The following is a 23,681-nucleotide window of genomic DNA, read 5'->3' as shown; positions in this document are numbered from 1 at the left end:
CTGGGAAGATTTTTAGAATGTGCGAAACTTAAGCATGATTGTAGGCAGAGTGGGAAGTCAGGGAAGGCAGAATGCAAATTTACAATATATTCGTGTAAATGTTACACTTTATTGAAGGAATGGGACTTGTTAGAGAGGAAGTTACAAGATGGCTTTCTCTTCCCATATCACTATCTTTAAAAGAGGTCTGTGGACTTATTCTATACCAATTCTAGATGAAATCTCAGGTAGATAGTATAGCTGTCTTTGTTGTGCTCAGGCATGAATTTATAGTGTCATTCTGAAAGACTAAATATTCCAATCCAGTCTTGTAAATCAAAACACAGTCAATGTAAAATTATCATTTCACCATTTTATCTTTATAGAGTCTGGGAAACCTATAGTGGGAAGCTGGGGTGCGGTCAACATCTCTTTCTCTTGCCTCTTCTTATGTCACACTCACTGGCTACTGCTTGGGCCCAGGGAATGAAGTTGTAAGAATGAGAAAAGATAATGTTTTATGTAAGCAGAGTTGTCATCAGACAATGTGATCCTCTGGCTGAGGCAACTGTCCAAAACCAACTCTGCCATTGGCCATGTGAGGTCCTGGGAAACCCACCCCTGATGGTACCCACCAAAGCCTCCACTCCCACCCTCAGCCCCCATATCTGGCAAGATGTTTATGAATTGGCCTCAAGCCTTAGCTGCCAGAGGTCGTCCCTCTGTTACAGTTATCTCCAATCACCTCCTTGGGTAAAATTCCTTTTAGTAAAGATAAATTCAACCATATTTCTTCTGTGAGGCCAACATCTAGCCCACAGAAAACGTGACTGAACTTCTGCCCAGACTTCTGGAGATACTGAAGCATTTCACTCCTAAGGAAATATTTCTTGGCCAGGCATGGTGGCTCACACCTGTAATCCCAGCACTTTGGGAGGCCAAGGTTGGGGGTCACCTGAGGTTAGGAGTTCAAGACCAGCCTGGCCAACATGATGGAAGCCCTGTCTCTAATAAAATTCCAAAATTAGCTGGGTGTGGTGGCAGGCGCCTGTAATCCCAGCTACATGGGGGCTGAGGCACGGGAATTGCTTGAACCCAGGATGCCGAGGTTGCAGTGAGCAGAGATGGCACCACTACACTCCAGCCTGGGTGGCAGAGCAAGACTCTGTCTCTAAATAAATAAATAAACAAATAAATAAATAAATAAAATATTTCTGCACTCTCCAGCTCAAGCCAGTCTCTGGCCTTTAGGCTTTTAAAGCATGACTCAGGTCCAAGTCCCTACATATTACCCAACAACAATGTCAACAACAACAATAATAATAGTAGAACATACACCAAGCTCTCTGAGTATCTTCCTGAAAGCTCCCCTCGGCTGATGCTTCCAGTACCTTCTCTTTTCCCCTCCACCGCCATTCTCTATCTGGCTCCAACCCTTCCTGTTTGCTCCTGGGATGGTTTGTCACGGCGTCCAGTCCTCTGGCTCTGGTTCTGTCTAGCACCACCGGGAGAAGAAAGTGTGGAGGAAATAGGAGCTGAGGCACTGGTGGTTCTGACCCTGTCCCCGCCAGGCTCTGGGTTGGCAGTGGCACTGTTCCTGTCTGAAAGACCCAGCTCCTCCTGGAGGCCTGTCCTCAGCTGTGTCGCCACAGGTCTGGGTTCCGAAACCTCCATTTCTGTTTCCCTCTTGAGGTTCAGGGATGGTTGCAGTTGCTCTGTTGCTCACACCAGATGCTGCACGCTCCATTTTTGTTTTCCCACATCTTCTCCACAACTTTATAAATCGTTCCTCTATTAACATTTTAAATGAAAACTCAGTGTGTTATCTGTTCCCTACTAGGGCCTCCACTGCTGTGCTTGGATTAACGAGACGAGGCACCCTACTCTCTCCATGCTGCTCTCTAACATTTTGTACTATTCCATTGATTGATTTTTTATTTTTATTTTTTTTTGAGACAGGTTCTCGCTCTGTCACTCAGGCTGGAGTGCAGTGGTGCGATCCTGGCTCCACTATAGTCTCGAACGCCTGGGCTCAAGCAATCCTCCTTCCTTAGTCTTCCAAGTAGCTGGGATTACAGGAATGAGCCACCATGTCTGGCCCTTACTAATCCATATTAATATGCCAACTACTCTCTTTTAAAAAATCCTCATCAGAGTCTTACCAAATTTAATGATAAATTATAGTCTTATCTAACCTGAAAGTAGATGATGGCCTAATGCTTGAAGAACCAGTTGTATAACTCTAAAAACACTTGGCAGAAGTGAGTTAGCACCTCAGTGAGAATGTGGCAAAAAAGAGAAAATAATGAGGTCTGAGAGAAGAAGAAAGGAATGAAATGTTCCGGCAAGAAAATGAGGAGAAATATTTTTTCTTCTGAGATAACAGAAAAGTAAAAAGTTATATGGTCCCAGCTACTAGGGAGGCTGAGGTGGGAGGATGGCTTGATCCTGGGAGGCAGGGGTTGCAATGAGCTGAGACTGTGCCAACGCACTCCAGCCTGGGCGACAGAGTGAGACTCTGTCTCAAAAAAAGAAAGAAAGAAAGAAAGAAATGTTGCATAACTAAACATATAAAAATAGTTTCCAAATTAAAAAAAATGAGTGAAACAGTTGCTTCTGAGCATTGTAAATTTTTCAGGAATGCAATTATTCATAGTCATTTCCCTTAGAAAGTTTATTGATAGTGTTCAATTTATTTATTTATTTATTTTGAGAAGCAGGTTTGCTCTTGTTGCCCAGGCTGGAGTGCAGTGGTGCGATCTTGGCTCACTGCAACCTCTGCCTCCCAGGTTCAAGCAATACCCCTGTCTCAGCCCCCCAAGTAGCTGGGATTACAGGTGGCTGCCACCATGCTCAGCTAATTTTTTTGTATTTTTAGTACAGATGGAGATTCACCATGTTGGCTAGGCTAGTAAATTGTTTTTTTTAGACGGAGTCTCACTCTGTTGCCCAAGGTGGAGTGCAGTGGCGCGATCTTGGCTCATTGCAACCTCTGCCCCCCAGGTTCAAGTGATCCTCCTGCCTCAGTCCCCTTAATAGCTGGGATTACAGGCACGCGCCACCATGACCAGCTAATTTTTGTATTTTTAGTAGAGACGGGGTTTCGCCATGTTGGCCACACTGGTCTCAAACTCCTGACCTCAGGCGATCCACCTGCCTTGGCCTCCCAAAGTGCTGGGATTACAGGCGTGAGCCACCGTGCCCAGCCTGTTCAAATTTAAATCTAGTGAAAAAGGTCCTTGAATCTAGGCAAACCCTTTAATGGAAACTTTTCCAAATGTTTATTTCTGCCATGTCCATTCACACATTTTTCAGTATGATGCACATATAAAATGTGAATATTCTGAGATTTTTTTACCTTTCTTGCAAGTTATCCAACCACAGATTTAGGAATGATGGCAGAAGATGATACAGTTCTCTCACAACAATAACAGTAGCCAGAATACCAGCACGTTTTGCATTGGTTCTCCAAGCCCACTTTACACAAGTCAGTATGAAGATGGTCAGATGGCACATGCTGACACAATGAGTTTGATTACAGGAAAGAAACCCTGAGTTTAGGGAACCCACAGCTTTTATAACAGGAGGCACACCTGCTTCTTCTCGGCAGGGAGACACTATCACAATCTCTAAGGCTCCAAGCCAACTTGGTCTTTGTTCTGGAGAAATACACTCCGCTTTCCAGGGCTTACTGTGCACATATCCATGATGAGGTAGTTCAAAGGGCAGTCAGTGTCCCTACTTGTAAGATGTGCAGAATTGCAAGGAACACATGAATAACTGTCTCACAATAGCATGTACTTACATTTAACATAAATTTAGATTCACAATCCCCAGGATCTAAATCCCTGGATTTCTATCTAATCCAGAGCTTGCTTTTTATTATTGCTGTGTTATATCCAGAAAATATTAACCTTCTGATAGGAAGCTTCTACTTCTGAGAGTCTGTGTCAGTGTGATTTTGACAATATAATATTGTCCACTGCGAATTTACATTAATTTGCATATATAATCTGTGATATTATCTTGAATACAAGTATTTAAAATGTTCAGTGATAGAAATTCACATATTAAATTAGTTTCTTTGATTTTCATAACTCAGATTATATAGTTATATGTCCAGAAATAGAACGCACAATGCTGTAAATTGTACCTCCGTTGGGACATATGACTATTTTGGTCATTTAAAAAAATGTTGCAGAGGACCACCAGGAAATTGTTATTGACGATATAACATCTGAGTTGAAAACTGATTAATGATGAAATACTTTTAGGAAATAGCTATAAAAATAAGTTGTACATTTTAATGTATAGTGTGAAATCAAGAGAAGAAAGATGATACAAGTCAAAGATAGAAACTTTGGGCTATCAATGTGGAGTTCAGTGGAAAAGAACAAGTAAATTTATCCTGGTGCAATTTAATGCTGAGCCTTCTGCCAACTTCCCCCTATTCAACTAACCAAGACCTTACAAGATTTGGGAGGATATTCTTAGTGAACATAATTCAGCTGCTCCCAGCTTTAATAAGAAAACTCTACTTCCTTCAGCAGTCTTTTCCTTGAAGTAATTTCTACTTGCCTTTTTTCATCCTAGAGTGGTTAACACCCAAAAGTCAAAATTAAGTGTAGGCATAGGACACAGTATCTAAGCTTTTGGTCCAAGGGACAGAGGTAACCTTGAGACTCAAAGGTGATGTCACCAAGTATGCCAGGGTGAGGCGGTCACATGTGTCAAAGCCTTAATTATAAAAAGTGTCTCCTTGTTCACTGTGTCCTCACTATGTAACTTTTTCAGGAGCCTGTGACAGTCATAGGAACCAGATCAAGGATTCTCACGACCCAGGGCTCTGCTAATACTTTTCCATCTCATTGCAGTGAAAATATCTTCTGCTTTAATCATAACCACCACCACTCACTCCTGTCTGTGTTTAGTACAAAGAGCAAGGGGCAGAGTACTCGTCAACTTAGGGGGAGGAGGAGTCAGTAGAGAAAGCATTCATGAAAAAAGGTTTACATCTCAGCAATTTCTAGGAACAAAAGACTTATGAAATTCTAACATTTTATTTTGACACAGTTCTTTTTTAGTATTTTGTTAGATACAAATACAGATTTTGAAAAATCATTTTATAATAATTACAGTATTTGCCAACCTGTGTATACCACGTAAATTCTATGTATAAATCGGTGGAGAGGTAGTCATAATACCAGGGGCCATGCTGCATAGGATCTTGCACCACAGCTCACTATCTTTTACATAATATGCTTTAGTATGTTCAGAAAAACATTCTTAGTAAAGGTCTCAGAAATCATGATAGAGTAATACCAGTCACAGAATCAAGAAAGGCATCTAGTTTAATCTACAAAAGATTTTAGAAATAATCTTGTAACATATCCACTAAATTGAATAATGAACATTAGACCACTTTTTATTCCATTATAATCTTATTTTCTCTCATAACGCTATCCATTAAAGAATAGATTATATTGTAAAAGCTCCTAAAAAAGTATCAAATCTGCCTTTGTTCCATTCCAACTAAGCTGTGTTTCCCACCTGTTCTGTGCTTGCTAAAAATAAAATGAAAAAATAAAATGACTATCTAAAGTGGTTTTAAAAAAGACTGTATCATAGATCCTGTGAAATCCTTCCTGATTTAAATCCTTTAAGTGGCGGATAACTTGAAATGGCAAATGAATTGGCCACAGAACGGTGCACACTATTCAAGGTTTGTTCATGGAGTCTTGTCTATCACAGTGATCTGTGGGCGTGACAACATCATCTATACAGTGTTCATTTTTCTCTTAGGTGGTCTGGGCATTCTTAAGCCATTTATTCAAACATTATCTTTTCAATTCTACCCTATAATTTTTATTTCTAAAGCTAAGTGAGCACACACCAGGTACCTGTACCTGGGTAGTGGTTTTCTAGGATATAGTAAAATGCAGGAGAAACTGAAAAGCAAATGGGTGCAGATGAATTGAAAACTCTTCCCTCCCCACATCGAAGCCCAGTTGAAGGTTAACATTTGAACAGAAAACATCTTCATAGACACGAATGGGAAAAGTTAATGCTCAGAATCCAGAAGTAAAATGCAACCACTCCTACTCACTTCTTCTAGAAATTGCTTTATAAGTGATCCTGAGGAATTCTTTCTCTATCTCTGTCTCTCACTCTCCCTCCTCCCTCATCTCTTCCCTCTCCTAATTCTGGCTGAAATTGGCAACTAAGTCAAATGTAGCTAAGCAAACAGACTAGAGTCTCAGTATGAGACAGAGATATATGTATGCACAATACACATATATATTTACGTGTATGTATATATACACATATATATGTATTATTTTTCTCCTAATTCTACCCACAAAAGAAGCACTAATACCTTAAGAGCCATAAGCAAATTTTGTGCACAGATGGTTTTTAATACCTGTCCCTACTGAAAGGAACAAGAGCCTCTTGGAGAAATGTCTGGTTCCAGGGCTGGGACAAAGAAGGTACATGATGAAACTGGAACACCTTTTTGTGCCAGAAAGAAAGGAAGTGATCAAGAAAACAATGGGGACATGTCAAAAAGAAACAGGCAATAGCTTGAAGGGGTTCCTGCTGACCAAATCTAGGAACAATTTGAGTATCAAAATAACTGAGGACTGCAATAGATAGTAACGATTAAATAAAACAGGATGATTAAAGTAGAAAATTATTCATCTATTATCATAAGCAAACAAACAGATACATGCATACATAAATGGATAAATAGGCAGAGGAGAAAAGAGAACATTTCTTTAAATTAGTGTGCCAGCTGATACATGTGAAAGGAAGAGTCATGGAGTGGCGGTGTGGAGGGAGGTGGGGTGGGGAATACCATTTGCAACCATGGTGGTAAAGAATAATTCAAGCAAGAAATATCAGGAGAATATTTATCGTTGGGAAGAGCTGGATGAGAAGCAGGCTGCTTGCATGTTCTCAAAGTGTCTCTTCACAGACTGCTGTTCATTACAAGGAGAAAAGTACTAATGTTTTTACCTAGCATAATGCATTTTCAAGTAAGTCTTGTCTTTATATGTGCTAGTACTTCATTCCTTTTTTTTTCTTTTTTTTTTTGGTTAAGTAGCATTTCATTGTATGGATATGCCCCAATGAGTTTATTTATTTACCAATTAATGGACACTATAGTTGTTTTCAGTTTGGGGTTGTCCCATATAAAATTGCTATAAATATTCATGTACAGATACTGTGCAGACATATTTTCATTTTCCTTGGTAAAAACCTGGAAATGGAATTGCTCAGTCATACAATAAGTGCATGTATGAATTTATAACAGAAAGTGCTAATCTGTTTTCCAAAGTGGCTATAGTAATTTACATTCTCATCAAAAACATATGAGTGTTTGGTTGTTCATCCTTACCACAACATGGTTTTGTTACCTTATCTTTATTTTAAATGTTCCAATAAATAGTGATATTTTCTTATGGTTTAAATTTGCATTCCCCTAATGATTAATAATGTTGATCATCTTTTTACTTGTCATCGCTATCATTGTTTTTTGGTGAAGTGTCTTTTCAAATATTTTACCTAATTTTTTTAACCAAATTGTTTGGCTTCTTAATATTGAGTTGTAAGAATTCTTTGTATATTCTGGATACAAATTCCTTATCTGATCTATGATTTGCAAATATTTTCTCCCATTCTGTGGATTATCTTTTAATTTTCTTAATGGCGATTTTTTAAGAGCAGGCGTTCTTAATTTTTATAAAGTCCAATTTTTCTATTTTTATTTTTATTATTTATCCCATTTTCTCACCTTATCTAAGAAATCTTTTCCTAACCATGTTCATAAAGATTTTCTCAAATATTTTCTTCTAGAAGTTCTAGAGTTTTACATGTTACATTCAGGCCTCTGATCTATTTCAACTTAATATTTTCTATAACAAGAAAGGTGAAGATCAAGACTCATCTTTTTTCATTTGATCACCAAGTTAATCAAGCATCATTTGTAAAAAGTCTGTTCTTTCACCATTGAAAATCAACCATTGTAGAATACTAGCTGGCTATATATGTGTGGAACTATGTTTAGACACTACATTCTGTTCCAAATTATTTTGTAAATTTGTATACTTTACCTCAATGCAACCTTATATTACTATAGCTTTATAGTGTGACTTTAAATCAAACCGTAAGAATCCTCCACATTTGTTCTTTTAAAATATTGTTTTAGTTATTCTCAAGGTTTGCATTTTCAAGTGTTTTAGAATCAACTTGTCAATTCAACAAAAATACCTGATGGGATTTTGATAGGGATTGAAATGAATTTATAAATCAATTTTGGGTAGAATTGAGATTTAAATAATATTTAGTCTTTTATTGCATAAACACAGTGTATCTCTCGATTGCTTTATTTTTATGTTGATTTTTTATCAATGATTTTTAATTTCCAGCACACAAACCTTGCATATATTTTACTAGATCTATTCTGAATAATTTCATGTTTTTGATATACTGCAAATGGTATTATGTTTTTTAATTTCAATTTTCAGCTATTTTTAGCTCATATACAAGGGTATGATTATATAAATATAAACATATATTATATATATACATAGACATTTATAATATATATGTTAACCTGGCTTTCTATGACCTTGTAAATTTCACGTTTAAATCAGTTTAGTATTTTTGTAGCCTTTCTGAGATTTTCTAAATAGCTAATTATAACGTTTGTTAATAAAGACAGTTTTGTTTTTCCCAGTCTGCATGCCTCTATCTCTTTTTCTTCGCTTATTATTTTCACTAAGACCTCAGCCTAATGTTGAATAGAAATGGTGAGAACAGACATGCTTACCTTGTTCTCAACCTTAAGGTGTATTCATCAGTCTTTCACAATTTAGTATTATATTCATGGTAGGTTTTGTCAGCTTGAAAGTGTTCCTTATCTTTCTGATTTGCTAAGATCTTTATAACTATAACTAACAAATGTTGAGTTTTATCAAGTGCATTTCTGCATGTATTGAGATCCTCCAGGTGCTTGGATGTCAGTGCTCCTGTTGCAGGGCCAGGCAATACGATTTTATTGTTGTGTTTTACTGTATGTGTTTTCAAGCAAAAAGCTGAATCTAAGCTGCCTACATAGGCCCAGGAATAAATGCTGTACTCTCAGTTGACGGGGACTAGAAAATTCCTCCTCTCCAGTCAGAGACATGACAAGGAATCTTGGTTCTGCTCTGATTCTGGATACTAAGCAGATAATCACACCTCAAGTAGATTTTGAACTCTAATCTGAAATACAATTATAATAATAGAGTTCCTGATTTCAGACATTAACATAAAAGTTGTTTTTGAGTTCATTATGGAATCAAAGGCTAAATATTCTGAAGAGACATTTCTGCCATACAGGCCACATGGTATCTTTAATTGAGAATAATGGAAGTTAACCCTTCTAAACTCTTCTTACTGTATTGAAATTTAAGGAGAATGTATGATAGAGTATATATTGTTTTCATTCATTCAACAAATATTTATTGAATGTGTCTGTTAGGGGTCCAAGCATTTTTCAGGCTCTGATATGATGAAAGGAAAACATGAAAAACCATGTCTTGTTCCAAGGGGAGATGATTATTATTATTTGCATGGTACTGCAGGCAAATGTGTTCATCTTATTTGAGTGCATATTGATTGACCATAACATGATAGCCTCTCTTAGGATATAAAGTACTTTTAGATCCTAAAACGTTTGTGAGACCTTTCCTAAGTAATCACTAATAATGTAAAATATATACACAAATGATTATATATATATCTTCATTTCGTTATTATTTTCAATAAGAATACAAAAAACTGGCTTTGTTCTAGGAAGTTACTTTGCTTTGTGATATTTCTGCATTTATTTATCCTCTATACACCTCTTATTAGATAGAATTATGCTGAGTTGCTACAAATGAAATAAGTCCATTTCTATACATTATCTGTTTTGTCAAATAATGCCATGTTCAGGCTTTAAAATGTATCCATTCTTCTGGAGTTATTTAAAGATACATGCTTCAGTTTATATTGATAGCACCATACTAATCATTTTATAAAAATATTTGAAATTTAATTGCTGATATTCAATATTAGGCATATTTTTTGCTCCTATTTTATCCATCAAAGTAAAGCCTCCTCCTAGTGCAGATTTATTTGAGTAACCACCATTCACCTCTGCTATCAAATATTTCCAAATTAATTATAGTTATTTCCATGTTTTTACCCTATTTTGATTTGTCCAACTATTTAATTTCTAATTAAACTTTTTACTTAAGTTACAAACTAAGCAGATGTCTAGATTTGTTGTTGTTTCCAGATTTATTTCAGACATTAAGAAAGTTATATTCATTCTTTAATATATTTAATAGAACAAAACTCAAGTTGTTTTGCTAATTATTCTATATATATAGATTAAAACATTAATCCCTGTTAAAATCATGCTATTTAGTACTAAGTTTTGTTGGATGAAGGGAGGATCAAACTAGGGCATGTCATTTTTTGACAAAAGAGTTAACTGAGTGGCTCTGAATTGCTCATTAGGCGTAACTTTCCTCTGACACCATCACATGTGAGCTTCCAGTAGGAGTGCCTTCTCATGGAGGGTGGTTATTCATGTCAAGAGGATTGAAGTGTGTATAATCACCAGCTAGAACCTTCAGTATGCAAGAGGCTTCCTTCTGCCTTTGTGTGTAATAGTGGTCTTTAAAGCTGGAGCTTTTGCTGAATGTTGTTGATATATTACAACAATATCCAGAAAATGCACTCTATTTCCTCACTAATCCAAAGGAGAAAATGGCATATTTCTAAATTACTAAGAAAACTGAACACCACAAACATTTATTTCCATAATCCTGTTGCTGACATTAGGATACATGTAAAAATTTAATCCAAGTTCAACTTAAATTCTTCCATCAGCTTTTGTTTAGTTGCTGTGGAGTTTTATAGGAAATTCAGATAGCTATAGGCTTCCCTTATAAGCTCCCTTCAATAATCTGATTCTTGCCAATAATAAATCTGTCCATCATGGTAAGTGAGACTTTTGTTATTCACATTGCCTTACGTTTATTTAACACAAAACCCTATTTGTATATCTCCACTGAAATCCTTGGTAATTTTTGATTGTCTAATAAATTGTGTTTTAAAATTGGCATTGAGTTTCAAATCATACTGTATAAACTGCCAGTGGTATGACACTCAGTGTTTATTTTAAAGCCATGATAAGTATAATTCACTTTTCTTCTAAATGGACTCAGTTCCAAGTAGAATTACAAGGGATAACAAAATGTCTTTGAAATAAACTTTGTAGTAGAGGAAAAAGCAAACAATCCTTGATATGAATCAAGAAATTTAGATTATCCTCCTGGCCAAGCAACCACCTGCCTGTAATTTTGTAAAAGAAACTTGGCTTCATTGACATCTCTCTCCTTGTCAGTAAAGTAAGACAGAAGTAATTGAATTAATTATTCTCCCTATCAGTAAATAGTTTATTACTTTTAAAACCTAATTTCCTTAAACTTTGAAACTATGACTTTAGTTTATGATTATTGTCTTTAATTATTGGCAATACTTTGAATAATTTAAAAATGCTAGGCTAGGCATGGCCATTGTACTCATTTTATGCCTCAAAAAATTCACCATTGACGGATTAGTCTTATTTAGAAAAACATGCAGAGCTTTAAGTATAAAAATGCAATGTTGATTTGAGGGTTTTTTGTCGCTGTTTCTCATTAAGTTCACCTGTAAGATTTTACTTTCAATGTGGCATAGTATCATTGATTTTACTTACAGCTTTTATTTTTCATTTTTCACTGAGTATACAATATATCTGATTCTTCAGTGTTATTATTGTTTATATGTCAGGTAGGAATGCTGATCATTTAGGGTTTGGAAGTTTTCAAAGCCTATAGAATTTTGAAGTCAATGCTGTTGGCTTTCAGGATAACAAATGAAACGCAAAAGGACTCATTTTCCATTTGATATCTTACAAATATAATTATATAAGGAAATTCCCTTCACCCACTATAGGATTCTGCTGTCAGAAATGTCTCTGTTTCCAGTGATTTTCAGAGCAAATGGCCTGCAAATGAAAATCTCACTTAATACAAACATGCTTCCAAATGTTTTAGACATGTTACCAATTTTAGTTCAAATTCAATATTTTAATAATTGTGTTATGAATACTAGTACTAAAGCATCAATTATAAATCAGTATTAGGTTCTATGCTGAAAATACGGTGCATATACAGGCCAGATATTCTTGAAAAATGACAAAATAGTAGAGCTCATGCTTGAATAGTTTAAGATCTTCTGGGAAAAATAAATCTGATAAATTAAAATTCGCATACATTTATGAAAGTCCCTATGGAGGTTTTGCCCATTAATGGGCTTTAAAAAAAGACAGCATACTTCTTGTAATAATAATATTTGGTGGTGTACAGTGAAATTTTTCTTTTAGGGTTTCCTTTTTTAATTTTTTTTTTAAATTTTACTTTAAGTTTTGGGATACATGTGCAGAACGTGGAGGTTTGTTACATAGGTATACGTGTGCCATGGTGGTCTGCTGCTTCTGTTAACCCATCCTCTAAGTTTCCTCCCCTCGCCTTGGTGTATGTTGTTCCCCTCCCTGTGTTCATGTGTTATTATTGTTCAACTCCCACTTATGAGTGAGAACATGCGATGTCTGGTTTTCTGTCCCTGTGTTAGTTTGCTGAGGATGATGGCTTCCAGCTTCATCCATGTCCCTGCAAAGGACATGATCTCATTCCTTTTTATGGCTTCATAGTATTCCATGGTGTAAATGTACCACATTTTCTTTATCCAGTCTATCATCAATGGGCATTTGGGTTGGTTCCATGACTTTGCTATTGTAAATAGTGCTACAATAAACATACGTGTGCATGTGTCTTTATAGTAGAATGATTTATATTCCTTTGGGTATATACCCAGTAATGGGATTGCTAGGTCAAACGGTATTTCTGGTTCTAGATCCTTGAGGAGTCACCATACTGTCATCCACAATGGTTAAACTAATTTACATTCCCCACCAACAGTGTAACAGCATTCCTATTTCTCCACAACCTCGCCAGCATCTATTGCTTCTTGACTTTTTAATAATTGCAATTCTGACTGGTGTGAGATAGTATCTCACTGTGGTTTTGATTTGCATTTCTCTAATGATCAGTGATGTTGAGCTTTTTATCATGTGTTTGTTGGCTGTGTAAAAATCTTCTTTTGAGAATTGTCTTACAGTGAATTTTTATTTACCTTCCTTTAATTTCCAGAAACTTTCCAAGATTACTTCCCTGATTGTTTTGTTGATATCTTGCTTTACTGAGAATAATATATATGTTTAGAGATATTTTTGTATGCATGTAATATTTCTTTCGATACTTAGACCATCTCTAATTTTAGGATTTACTGATATTGACTCCCTCTAGCTCAACTGTGATAGCAAATTAGAGTAATTCCAATCTCTTCCCATCAACATTCATCAGCTAGCTAAGGGTTATCTCATCTCAGCCTCCTTCACTTTTCCCGATCCTTCTTTTCCAAAGTTGATACCACTAGTTTGTTGCCAGTTTTACTTTTATTTTTTTCAACCTCCAGTTCCCTGGTTGTTTTGTTTGTTTTTGCTAATATTTCCACATATAAGTAAATCAAGATCTATTTTTACTAAAACCATAACTTCTAAATTGAGGTAAATGATAACAGGAATGATTTCGGAAAAATTAACTGGAATTAATGTCTATAAATAATATCCCTCACCTGAATTCATAGCTTCTTAGGCGTTATGTCTTCTTAAAAAGTAACTGATTTGATAAACAACATCTACAAAAAAATCCTCCATTGTACTTAATGGTGAGGAACTGGAAGTGTTTTTGCTAGGTTTAGAAACAAGGCCAGGATGCCCTCTCTTACAACTCCTATTCAACATTTTACTGGAAGAAATAGCTGATGTAATATGTGAAAAAGAAGGAAAACGTTTATAGATTGGAAAGGAAGGAAATCAAATGTCTTCATTTGTAGATGACATGGTTGGCTATGGAGAAAATTCCAAAGAAATGTTAAAAAATAAAAATACCACCAAGATCAATAAGGTCAATATGATACAAGGTTAATATATGAAATAAATTTCTTTCCTATATTCCATAAACAAACATTTCAGAATTTTAAAAAAGAATGACACAGTCACAATAGCACCAAAAACTTTTTCATTAGCACCAAAAAATGAATTACTTATGTATAAATATATACAGTCTATATGTAGAAATCTACAAAACATGATAAAAGACTAAAAGAAGATCTAAATAAATGGAGAAATATTCCATATTCATGGATTGGAAGATTCAATATTGTTTGATGTCAACTGAATATATAGATTCAAAATAAAAGCAATAAAAATAAAAATTGTATTTAATAGCTCTTAGCAAATTGATTCTAAAGTCTATGTTGAAAAGAAAAAGACCTAAAATAGGCAAGATAATACTGAAGAGAAAAAAAGTTTGAAGACTCATGCTACCTGGTTTTAATATTTAGTATAAAGCTACCATAATCAAGACAGCATGGTATTGGTTAAAATAAGATACATAGATCAGCAGAAGAGAAGAGAGAGTCTAAAAGTAGCACACACAGTCAGCTATCTTTAAAAAGGGGGAAAAGACAATTCAATGGAGAAAGAATTATATTTTTAACAAATGATGCTGAAGCAGTTATACATCTGTATGCAAAAAACAACCTAACAACAAACCTTATACATGTCCCAATAATCAACTCAGAACAGATCACAGATCTAACTGTAAAATATAAAGCTATAAACATTCTAGAATAAAATACCTGAGAAAAATCTACGTGAACATGAGTTTGGTTATGCTTTTAGCTTTAATACCAAAAGCACAATTTGTGGAAGAAAAGTTTGATGTTGGGCTTTATTAAAACTAAAGTGCCTGTTCTGCAAAAGACAAGTTAAGAAAATGGAAACACAAGCCACAAACCAGGAAAACATGTTTGCATAGCAAAAATCTGATAAAGGACTGGTATTCAGGATATACAAATACTTCTTAAAAGTCAACACTAAAAAAACAAACATCCTAATTTAAAAGTGGGCAAAAGATCTGAATAGACCTCTTACCCAACATGATATACAGATGACAAATAAGCACATGAAAATACACTCTAATAATTTGTCATTAAGGAAGTGCAAATTAAAACAACAACCAGTTATGCACTTATTAGAACGGCTAATATCCAAAAAACCAAAAATACAAATTGCTGATGATATGGAACAACAGGAAATCTCATTCATTGCTGATAGTAATGTAAAATGATACAGTCACTTTGGAAGACCCAGCTTGGCAGTTTCTAACAAAGGTAAACATAGTATTATCATTTGACCCAGCAGTCATGCTTCTGGGTATTTACTGAATGTTTTTTAAACACATGACCACACAAAAACCTACAGGTAAATGTTTATAAGTGGCTATATTCATAATAGCCAAATTTGGAATCAATTAAAATGTTCTTCATTAGGCAAATAAACACACTATTATATTTCGATGCAACGGAATATTATTCAACAATAAAAAGTAAGGAATTATCAAACCACATAAGCACATAGCTAAGTCTTAAAGTACATATTGTTAAGTGAAATAAACCAGGCTGGGCCGGGCACTCACGCCTGTAATCCCAGCACTTTGGGAGGCCAAGGTGGGTGAATCATGAGGTCAGGAGTTCGAGACCAGCCTGACCAACATGGTGAAACCCCATTTCTACTAAAGATACAAAAAATTAGCCGGGCATGGTGGCATGTGCCTGTAATCCCAGCTACTCTGGAGGCTGAGGCAGAAGAATTGCTTGAACCCGGGAAGCAGAGGTTGTAGTGAGCTGAGATCACACCACTGCAACTCCAATTTGGGCAACAGGGTGAGACTCCATCTCAAAAATAAATAAGTAAATAAATAAACCAGGCTGAAAAGGCCATGGCTTCATACCGCATTATTTAGTTTACATGACATTTTGAAAAAGGCAAAATTATAGAGCTAGTTAATGGATCAGTGGTGTCCAGAGTTTCAACATAGGGTGAGAGTGGTAAAGCACAGGACATTGTTTAGCGTACAGAAAATCTTCTATATGATACTGTAATTTTTGATACATAATACTATGTATTTGTCAAAACCAATTGAACTATTAAACATAAAAATTGTTCCTTGGTATATGCAAATTTGAAAAAAATCAATTATTTAAAGGTCAAAGGCATACCTGGATAGAATGCAGAATTTGACAAAAGGATCTAACTATATTACAAGCTCTCCGAGGGTGGGGAGGATGGGAGCACTGAAGTAAGGAAGTGCTAAAGCAAAGCAAAACAAAACAAACCTAAACCTCAAAATATCCTAAAACCCTCAGTGATGGGGATATGTCGGGGACAAAGAAACCAACTGAAGGAGTTCTCAACAAAAGCTATAGAAATTTGAGCAACAGAAAAAAATACAGTAGTATTATAACTCAAAGTATAAATAACTATGAATTCATACTAACAATAAATGATGTGTAAATAAATAAATGGGAAAAATAGATAAGTATTCTGGTCAGAAGAAGTCCAAATAGCTTATGTGGATACTCTGCCCTCAGTGAGATGGGGCACAACTCCTTGTTTTTTAAGTATGGGCTGTGCATAGGGACCTCTTTCCAAAGACTGCCATATGTGATCCTTAATACTGAGTGTCAACTTGATTGAATTGAAGGATGCAGGGTGTTGATTCCTGTGTGTCTGTGGGGTATTACCAAAGGAGATTAGCATTTGAGTCAGTGGGCTGGGGAAGGTAGACCCACCCTTAATCTGGGGGGCAACATCTAATCAACTGCCAGCGAATATAAAGCAGGCAGAGAAACATGAAAGGAGAGACGGGCCTAGCATCCCAGCCTACATCTTTCTCCCATGCTGGATGCTTCCTGGCCTCGAACACTGGACTCCAAGTTCTTCAGTTTGGGGACTCGGACTGGCTCTCCTTGTTCCTCAGCTCGGCACAGACAGCCTATTGTGGGACCTTGTGATCGTGTAATCTAATACTTAATAAACTCCCCTTTATATATATGTTTATCTATCCTATTAGTTGTGTCCCTCTAAGAGAACACTGACCAATACACCATATGAAAATTGAAAAAAAAATAGAGTAACTTTGCAGTGGAGAAATTTGACAAACACTACCCCAGCCAAGTAATCAAAGTGAAAATCAACAGCGATATGCCTTGTTGATAATATGTCATTAAAATGGTGTGATGAAAATGGTCCTTTTCCACTGTGGTCTTTTCCAGAACACATAACCTCAGTCTAATCATGAGAGAAACATCAGTCAAATCCCAACTGAGGGTCATTCTACAAAATACCTAACAAGTACTTCTCAGAACTATCACGGTCATCAATAACACGAAGACCAGCAAAACTGTCACAGCCAAGAGGAGCCTATAGAGACATGACAACCAAATGTAATATATTATTGTGGTTGGGATCCTGGAACAGAAAGAGGATACTAGAGAAAAACTAAGGAAATCTGAATAAAGTGTGGGCTTTAATTAATAATAGATCAATATTGACTCATTAATTGTAAAAAACGTACCATATTAATGAAAAATGTTAATAGGAGAAATTTGATGTGGGCTGTATAGAAGTCTCTGTACTATCTTAGTAATTTTTTGGTAAATCTAAAACTTTAAAAATTAAAAGCTTATTAAAAATAAATTTAAAATGTAATTGATAATTACAGTAGTATAATTATGCAGCTGATGCTATAATTAAACTAATAAGAATATAACTAGATTCACATGTACTGATATGGAAGCAAGTCAAGGATACATTATGTAAAAAAAAAAGCAAATTGCAAAAACATTGCATTGTTGTGACTCACTTTATGCAAAAATGTGAACACATATGCATACACCCAAATATTTGAAGAGGTACACACTAAAGTCTGGTTAAAGATAGCGATAACATTGAGGGTTGTAGAAAATGGGGTGAATGTGGGCATAGACCTTTTTTCTATACATTTCTCTTATTTGAATATTTTACAATAAACATGTATTTGCAGATACTTATAAGTTACTTATGATATAAAATACTTTTCTTAGATGTATTTTAACTTCTTTTTGCTACCAAGCCTGACTTAATCCATTATTCTGTTTCATTAATGTAACATCGAGTGTCTTCTCCAATGCTTCTTTTTGCTAGGCATGTAAACAAGAATAAATTTCTCCCAGGTTAAAGAGGAAAATAAGAAAACAAAACAAAACGATAAAAGCTTACCCCGTATTTTTTTTCTGCCAAATTTCCTGAAGGTGTTGTCTATCATCATTATTTCTACTTCCCTATGTAGTTTTCTCTGTCAGTTCACTGCAGGCTGTCTTCCGCCTTTACCTCTCTACTCAGTCTAGTGTATGGCAACCTTCCTGACAGTGTGGTGGAGAGGGTAAAGCTCTGGGCAGATTTGGGCTCTGTGTCTGAGAACTTGCATATTTTACTTTACTTTCCTAATCTCAATTTCTTTACATCTAAAATGAGGACAGTATCCTTCTTGCTAACTTCTAGTATAGAAACTGATACATAATATATTTTAATAAATATTGATCAGATGATCTAAAAAGCAACCTCATCATAGCATCATGGCAAAGATGTAATCCCTCATCATCTTTTCTCTAGATTCTGGCAGTGGTCTATTAGTGTTACAGATGAACTAACCTCCCTAAAGAGTCTCAGTGTGTCTGCCCTCACAACCCTTCAAGTCTCTGTCAACACAATATCCAGAGTGGGCCCATTGAAGCCTAAAAAGTGTGCATGTCTCCTCTCCTCAGAACCTTCCAGAGCTTACTATTGCACAAGAATGTGAGTTTGTGTAGCGTTTGTATGGGCATGTGTATATGTGTGTGTGAGAGGGAATGTGTATTTGTGGAGGTAATCCTAGGAATCGCCAACACTGGAGTGGAAAAATATGGCAGGGAAGAAAGCAAGCCAATAAAAGGTTTGTTATCAAGCAGTGTACTGCTGTGGGCACCAGGTGCCTAGGCTCAGTAGGAAACTCAGAAGGATAGGGTGAATATGACCCAGAGTCATTCCAACCAAGGTTCCAAGAAGCTGAAAATTTGGTCCACACCATCTGCCAGTTATTGGTTGATGGCTGCTTTGGGGAAGGAAATGGAAGGAATGCATTAGTTTCTAGCATGCCCAATTTACTTTATCTTTAAGCCTGGCAAACTGTAGCAGCCAAAGAGAGCGCTCAGTTGAAGAGTTGTTAATAGGGAGCATACCCAAGAATGGTGAAAGCCAAGGAAATATGGATGGGTTGCTGACAGCATCTGCAAAAATGTCTTTTTTTCAAATATCTCATGTATTTGTATTTCCTTTCTAACCCTATGCATCATTTAAGGTTCTTTAGGAAACAGAAGGCATATTCAAAGGGGATAATTAAAGAGAATTTAACAAAATGGCTATTTATTAATATGTAAGCAGTTTTCAAGAAGAATTTCACAAGTTACAAGAAAGCTAGATGGACTAAAGCTATTTCTGTTGCCTAAAGAAGCAAGGATAAGGAACAGACACTTGAACTTTTAGATGTGGCCTTAAGTAGCAGAAATCAGGCACTGCTGAGCTATGCCTCGGCAGGGAAGGATCCGAGAAATCACACTCAGATTGATCTCTCCTCCAACCTCTGATCTGCTGTCTTTGTCTTTTATTGGTCAAAGCAACACAAAGCCAGAGTATAGAAAGTGAAGCAGGACTTAGGAGTCAGTGGCCAGAGCGCAAAGCTCACTGAAGGGTGAGAAGCAGAGCCAGAGGAGCAGGTGGAGAATATTCAGCATGACTAGGGCAACGCAACTTGCATGAAAGCCTGACTTTTGTCCCTCTGTTTCCTGCACTATCCCCCACAAATAGAACAGTGCCTCACATAGTAACACATAGTACTAAATAGATATTTGTTGAATGTTTCAGTCCGTTCACAACACTTGTGCTATTCATTGTAAAGTATTCCAGGATTGCACTTCGTTTAACTTTTGCCTTCCGAAAAGTGCAAACTGATATCTCAATATTGTGAATGAATGCCCTTAAAATGTTGAAGAGCTTCATCATAGGGGAGTGTCACGGCTTCTAATAATCATGATGTAAAGATTGGTTTTAAAAAAAATGCCATCTTCTCTTGTAACTCAGTATTTCCATTTCCTCTTCTAAATGAAGCAATAAAAATGGTTTTCCTAAGTCGCTAAAGTCCTGCTTTGAAAATTGTTTGGCTTCCATGAACACAAAATAATTCCATTTGATAAGGCATATTTTATTAGTATTTACCATTACTGTTAACAAAAGGCATATGTAGGAGATTGGCTGGTGCTGATATTGGATGACCATATATCAGAAAAAAATATATTAAATTACACTTTATCATTTCTATATTTCTAACTTGGGAGAATATTTCTGTCAGTCAGTGATTCAGGATCCTGTATTTAATTAGCTGTTAAACATTTATTACAATTTTGGATTTTGTCTTTTTTTATTGAAATAGTTTAACAAACATGATTCATTGAAAATAATATTCTCATCCCATGTTAAAAATAGTTTTCTAATTTTATTTTTTATACTCAACTTTTTTTTACCTTATATTCATCAAAAAAAAAATAGAAGTGAATGTATCTCCCCAAAATTCTTTTTTACCTGGGCTCTGTGAATGTGACTTTATTTGAAAACAGAACATTTTCAAATATAATAAAGTTAAGATGAATTTACACTGGATTGCTAAAGATCTGAAATCCAATATGACAGATGTTCTTATAAGAAGAGGGAAATTTGGAGACAGACACAGGCACACAGAAGAGATGCGTGTATAGATGGAGACAGAGGTTGGAGTTAGGTTGCCACTGGCAAGAGTACCAAAGATTGCTGGCAACCACCAAAATCTAGGGAAGAAGCATGAGTTAGACTTTCCCTCAGAGCCCTCAGAAGGAACCAATCCTATCCACACCTTCATTTCAAATGTTCAGACTCCAGAACCACGAAAGAATAAATATCTGTTGTTTGAAGTCACAATGTTTGTTACAGTAGTCCAAGTAAATATATACAGAATAAAACACAGTACCAGATCCGTTCTCATCCACCAGGAAAAATTTTTTGGAATATTAATTCTGGAAATGAAGAGTTGATTGCCTTTTTTTTTTTTTTTTTTTTTTTTTGAGATGGAGTCTTGCTCTTGTCACCCAGGCTGGAGTGCAATGGCACAATCTTGGCTCACTGCAACCTCCGCCTCATGGGTTCAAGTGATTCTCTTGCTTCAGCCTCCCGAGTAGCTGGGATTACAGGTGTGCACCACCAAGCTTGGCTAATTTTTGTATTTTTAGTAGAAACAGGGTTTCACCATGTTGGCCAGGCTGGTCTCAAACTCCTGACCTCCAGTGATCCGCCCCCCTTCGGCCTCCCAAAGTGCTGGGATTACAGGCGTGAGCCACCGTGCCCAGCCAATTGCCACTTTTGGAGTATCAAGAGTCGGCCTTTATTAGCAAGTATTTCTATCTGCCAATTTGGGTTGAGCAAAATTAGAACTGACAACGGACCAGATGCTTCTATTACCAGTATTTCAACCTCCAGAGGATCTGAGTAACAGTTTTCAAGTAACTCTCATCATAGCCCAAGCTTACTTAAACTCTAAAATGAAAGAATAGAAATAGACTCAGGATGCCAAAAAGTCATATATTTTTCTGATTTAAACTCATCAAACTGAAATTTAAAATAAAAATTATCTTGAAAACCTGCTACATAGCAAACACTGTGTTTGGGAATACAACATTGAGTAAGACAATTTCCCGGACTTCAAGGAGTTCGAAGTATGACTGTAATATACAATGAAATATACAGTGAAAAGGGAAACATGAGGCTACAGAAATAAAATGAGGCATATCATGTTCAGCTATATGCTTGAAGGCATTTGCAAGTCATTGAGGAGTTTGAAGTTGGGAAGCAACAGGATAAAATTTGTCATTTAGAAAACAGCACGGGGTAGAGTGGAGGGTAGTTTGGGCAGATGCAAGCCTGGAATGACTGGGAGATCAGCTAGGCCATTATAGCTGACATTCTGAGAAAAAGGTGAGGTGGCTTCACATAGAGAGTTAGCAATGAAAAAATCAAAGTGAAAAAATGGACGGATTAAAAGGATTGTTTCAATGGTTAATCAGCAAAGTTTGGGGATTTAATTGGCGGTAGAGATGGGAAGGAAAGACAGCGGGGAGGGAAAGGCAGATTCCAGTTAGTGGAAGTTAGTGGCGTCACGGTGCAGTTTTCTCCAGGCCGGACACCCGAGATGAAGGGCAGGGCCCAGGTACACAATGGAGAGGTAGGAACAATGGGCTACATTCAAGACAACAGATTTTCTGTTATTTACATTCAAATTATGTATATACCCACCCACTCACAAACACGCTTTTTTATTCTTTCAAATGAATTAGCCTACTTCTATTTATGAATAGCATTTGGTTGATTTAGCTCATTATTTAGCTAAACTAAGTTCAGTCAACTTTCAAAAACAGCAAAAACAGGCCAAAGTGGGAGAATCACTTGAGGCCAGGAGTTTGAGACCAGCCTAGGCAATATAGTGAGATCCCTTTTTCTACAAAAACAAAACAACAACAACAATAAGTATCCATGTGTGGTGGCATGCATCTGTAATCCCAGCTACTCTTAAGAGGCTGAGGACAGAGGATGGCTTGAGCCCAGGTGTTCAAGGCTGCAGTGAGCTATGCTCTCACCACTGCATTCCAGCCTGGGTGACAAAGAGAGACCCTGTCTCAAAAAAAAAAAAAAAAAAAAAGGCAAAATTTTTTTGATATTACACAGCTAGATATTTTCAAAACATAATTAAAAAAAGAAAAGAAATAATTTGAGGTAATTGTAAAAGACATAATTTTAAGTAAATTTTGAAAATCTACATGAACAGTCCTTGCTCTCATTAGATGGTTCATATTTAACTGAACTTTGCTGGTGATGGCAGAGACACATGTTAATAATGAACATGATGACTTGAAGTAGTAACTCAATTTATTATTTTAAGATATATTAAAGTTAAGTGCGATAAATTTATTTAAATGAAAAGAAAAAAGTCATATTTTTCATGGAAATACTAAGTAAATAAAAAGTACAAACATTGTTCCAGAAATAAAACTGCAACCCTTTAATGATCTCACTCAAGGCCTCAGCTTGGCTCTCAATTCTAAAGTCTTTTCGTTCTAAGTGTTTGTTCTAACACTGGATCCCTGTGTGTTTTACTCCAAATCCAGATCCCAGGGTGCAAATTGCATATAATCAAAAGGGAAAATACCAATAGCTATGACTAAATTAGAGAAACAACTGGCACGGAAGAGTGTGAGTCAGAACTACTAGTTTTCTAGAAGGTATTTTTTTTTAGTTCAAAAATTGAAGTATGGACAGGTGTGTTCCATGAAGCAGTGGGGCAATAGTAACCTCAATGTAACCACACGCTCTGCACAATGAATACTTCAAATTTTCCAAGATAAGTCTGCAGAAAACAGGAAATGGATTCTTCACTCTGCAATTTTTTATTTCTAAGGTTACATTCTTTTAACTTTTCAGACTGTTACTACAGTCTGTGCCACATTCTGAGTGTTTCCTAGAAAACTAATAAATTTGAGATCATCTGAATTGCTTTTCT

At 36.1% G+C, this 23,681-nt stretch overlaps 1 pseudogene across 1 annotated transcript in view, besides 2 other annotated features; it reads right to left on the bottom strand.

The window, feature by feature from the left end:
* LOC400464 (ubiquitin conjugating enzyme E2 Q2 pseudogene) overlaps positions 1 to 23,681 on the bottom strand; it is a 75,960-nt pseudogene that overhangs the window by 14,371 nt on the left and 37,908 nt on the right. The window lies entirely within an intron of this gene.
* Positions 4,734 to 5,028: an enhancer, noted in NCBI's record as "tiled region #11003; HepG2 Activating DNase matched - State 8:EnhW". NCBI's record gives its function as "activates a minimal TATA promoter and a strong SV40 promoter by Sharpr-MPRA in HepG2 cells {active_cell/tissue: HepG2}" and the evidence as "EXISTENCE:reporter gene assay evidence [ECO:0000049][PMID:27701403]".
* Positions 4,734 to 5,028: a silencer, noted in NCBI's record as "tiled region #11003; K562 Repressive non-DNase unmatched - State 24:Quies". NCBI's record gives its function as "represses a minimal TATA promoter and a strong SV40 promoter by Sharpr-MPRA in K562 cells {active_cell/tissue: K562}" and the evidence as "EXISTENCE:reporter gene assay evidence [ECO:0000049][PMID:27701403]".

The sequence above is a fragment of the Homo sapiens genome, chromosome 15, assembly GCF_000001405.40.
Source record: "Homo sapiens chromosome 15, GRCh38.p14 Primary Assembly".
Classification (NCBI taxonomy): Eukaryota; Metazoa; Chordata; class Mammalia; order Primates; family Hominidae; genus Homo; species Homo sapiens.
This window is presented reverse-complemented; position numbering and strand designations above follow the sequence as displayed.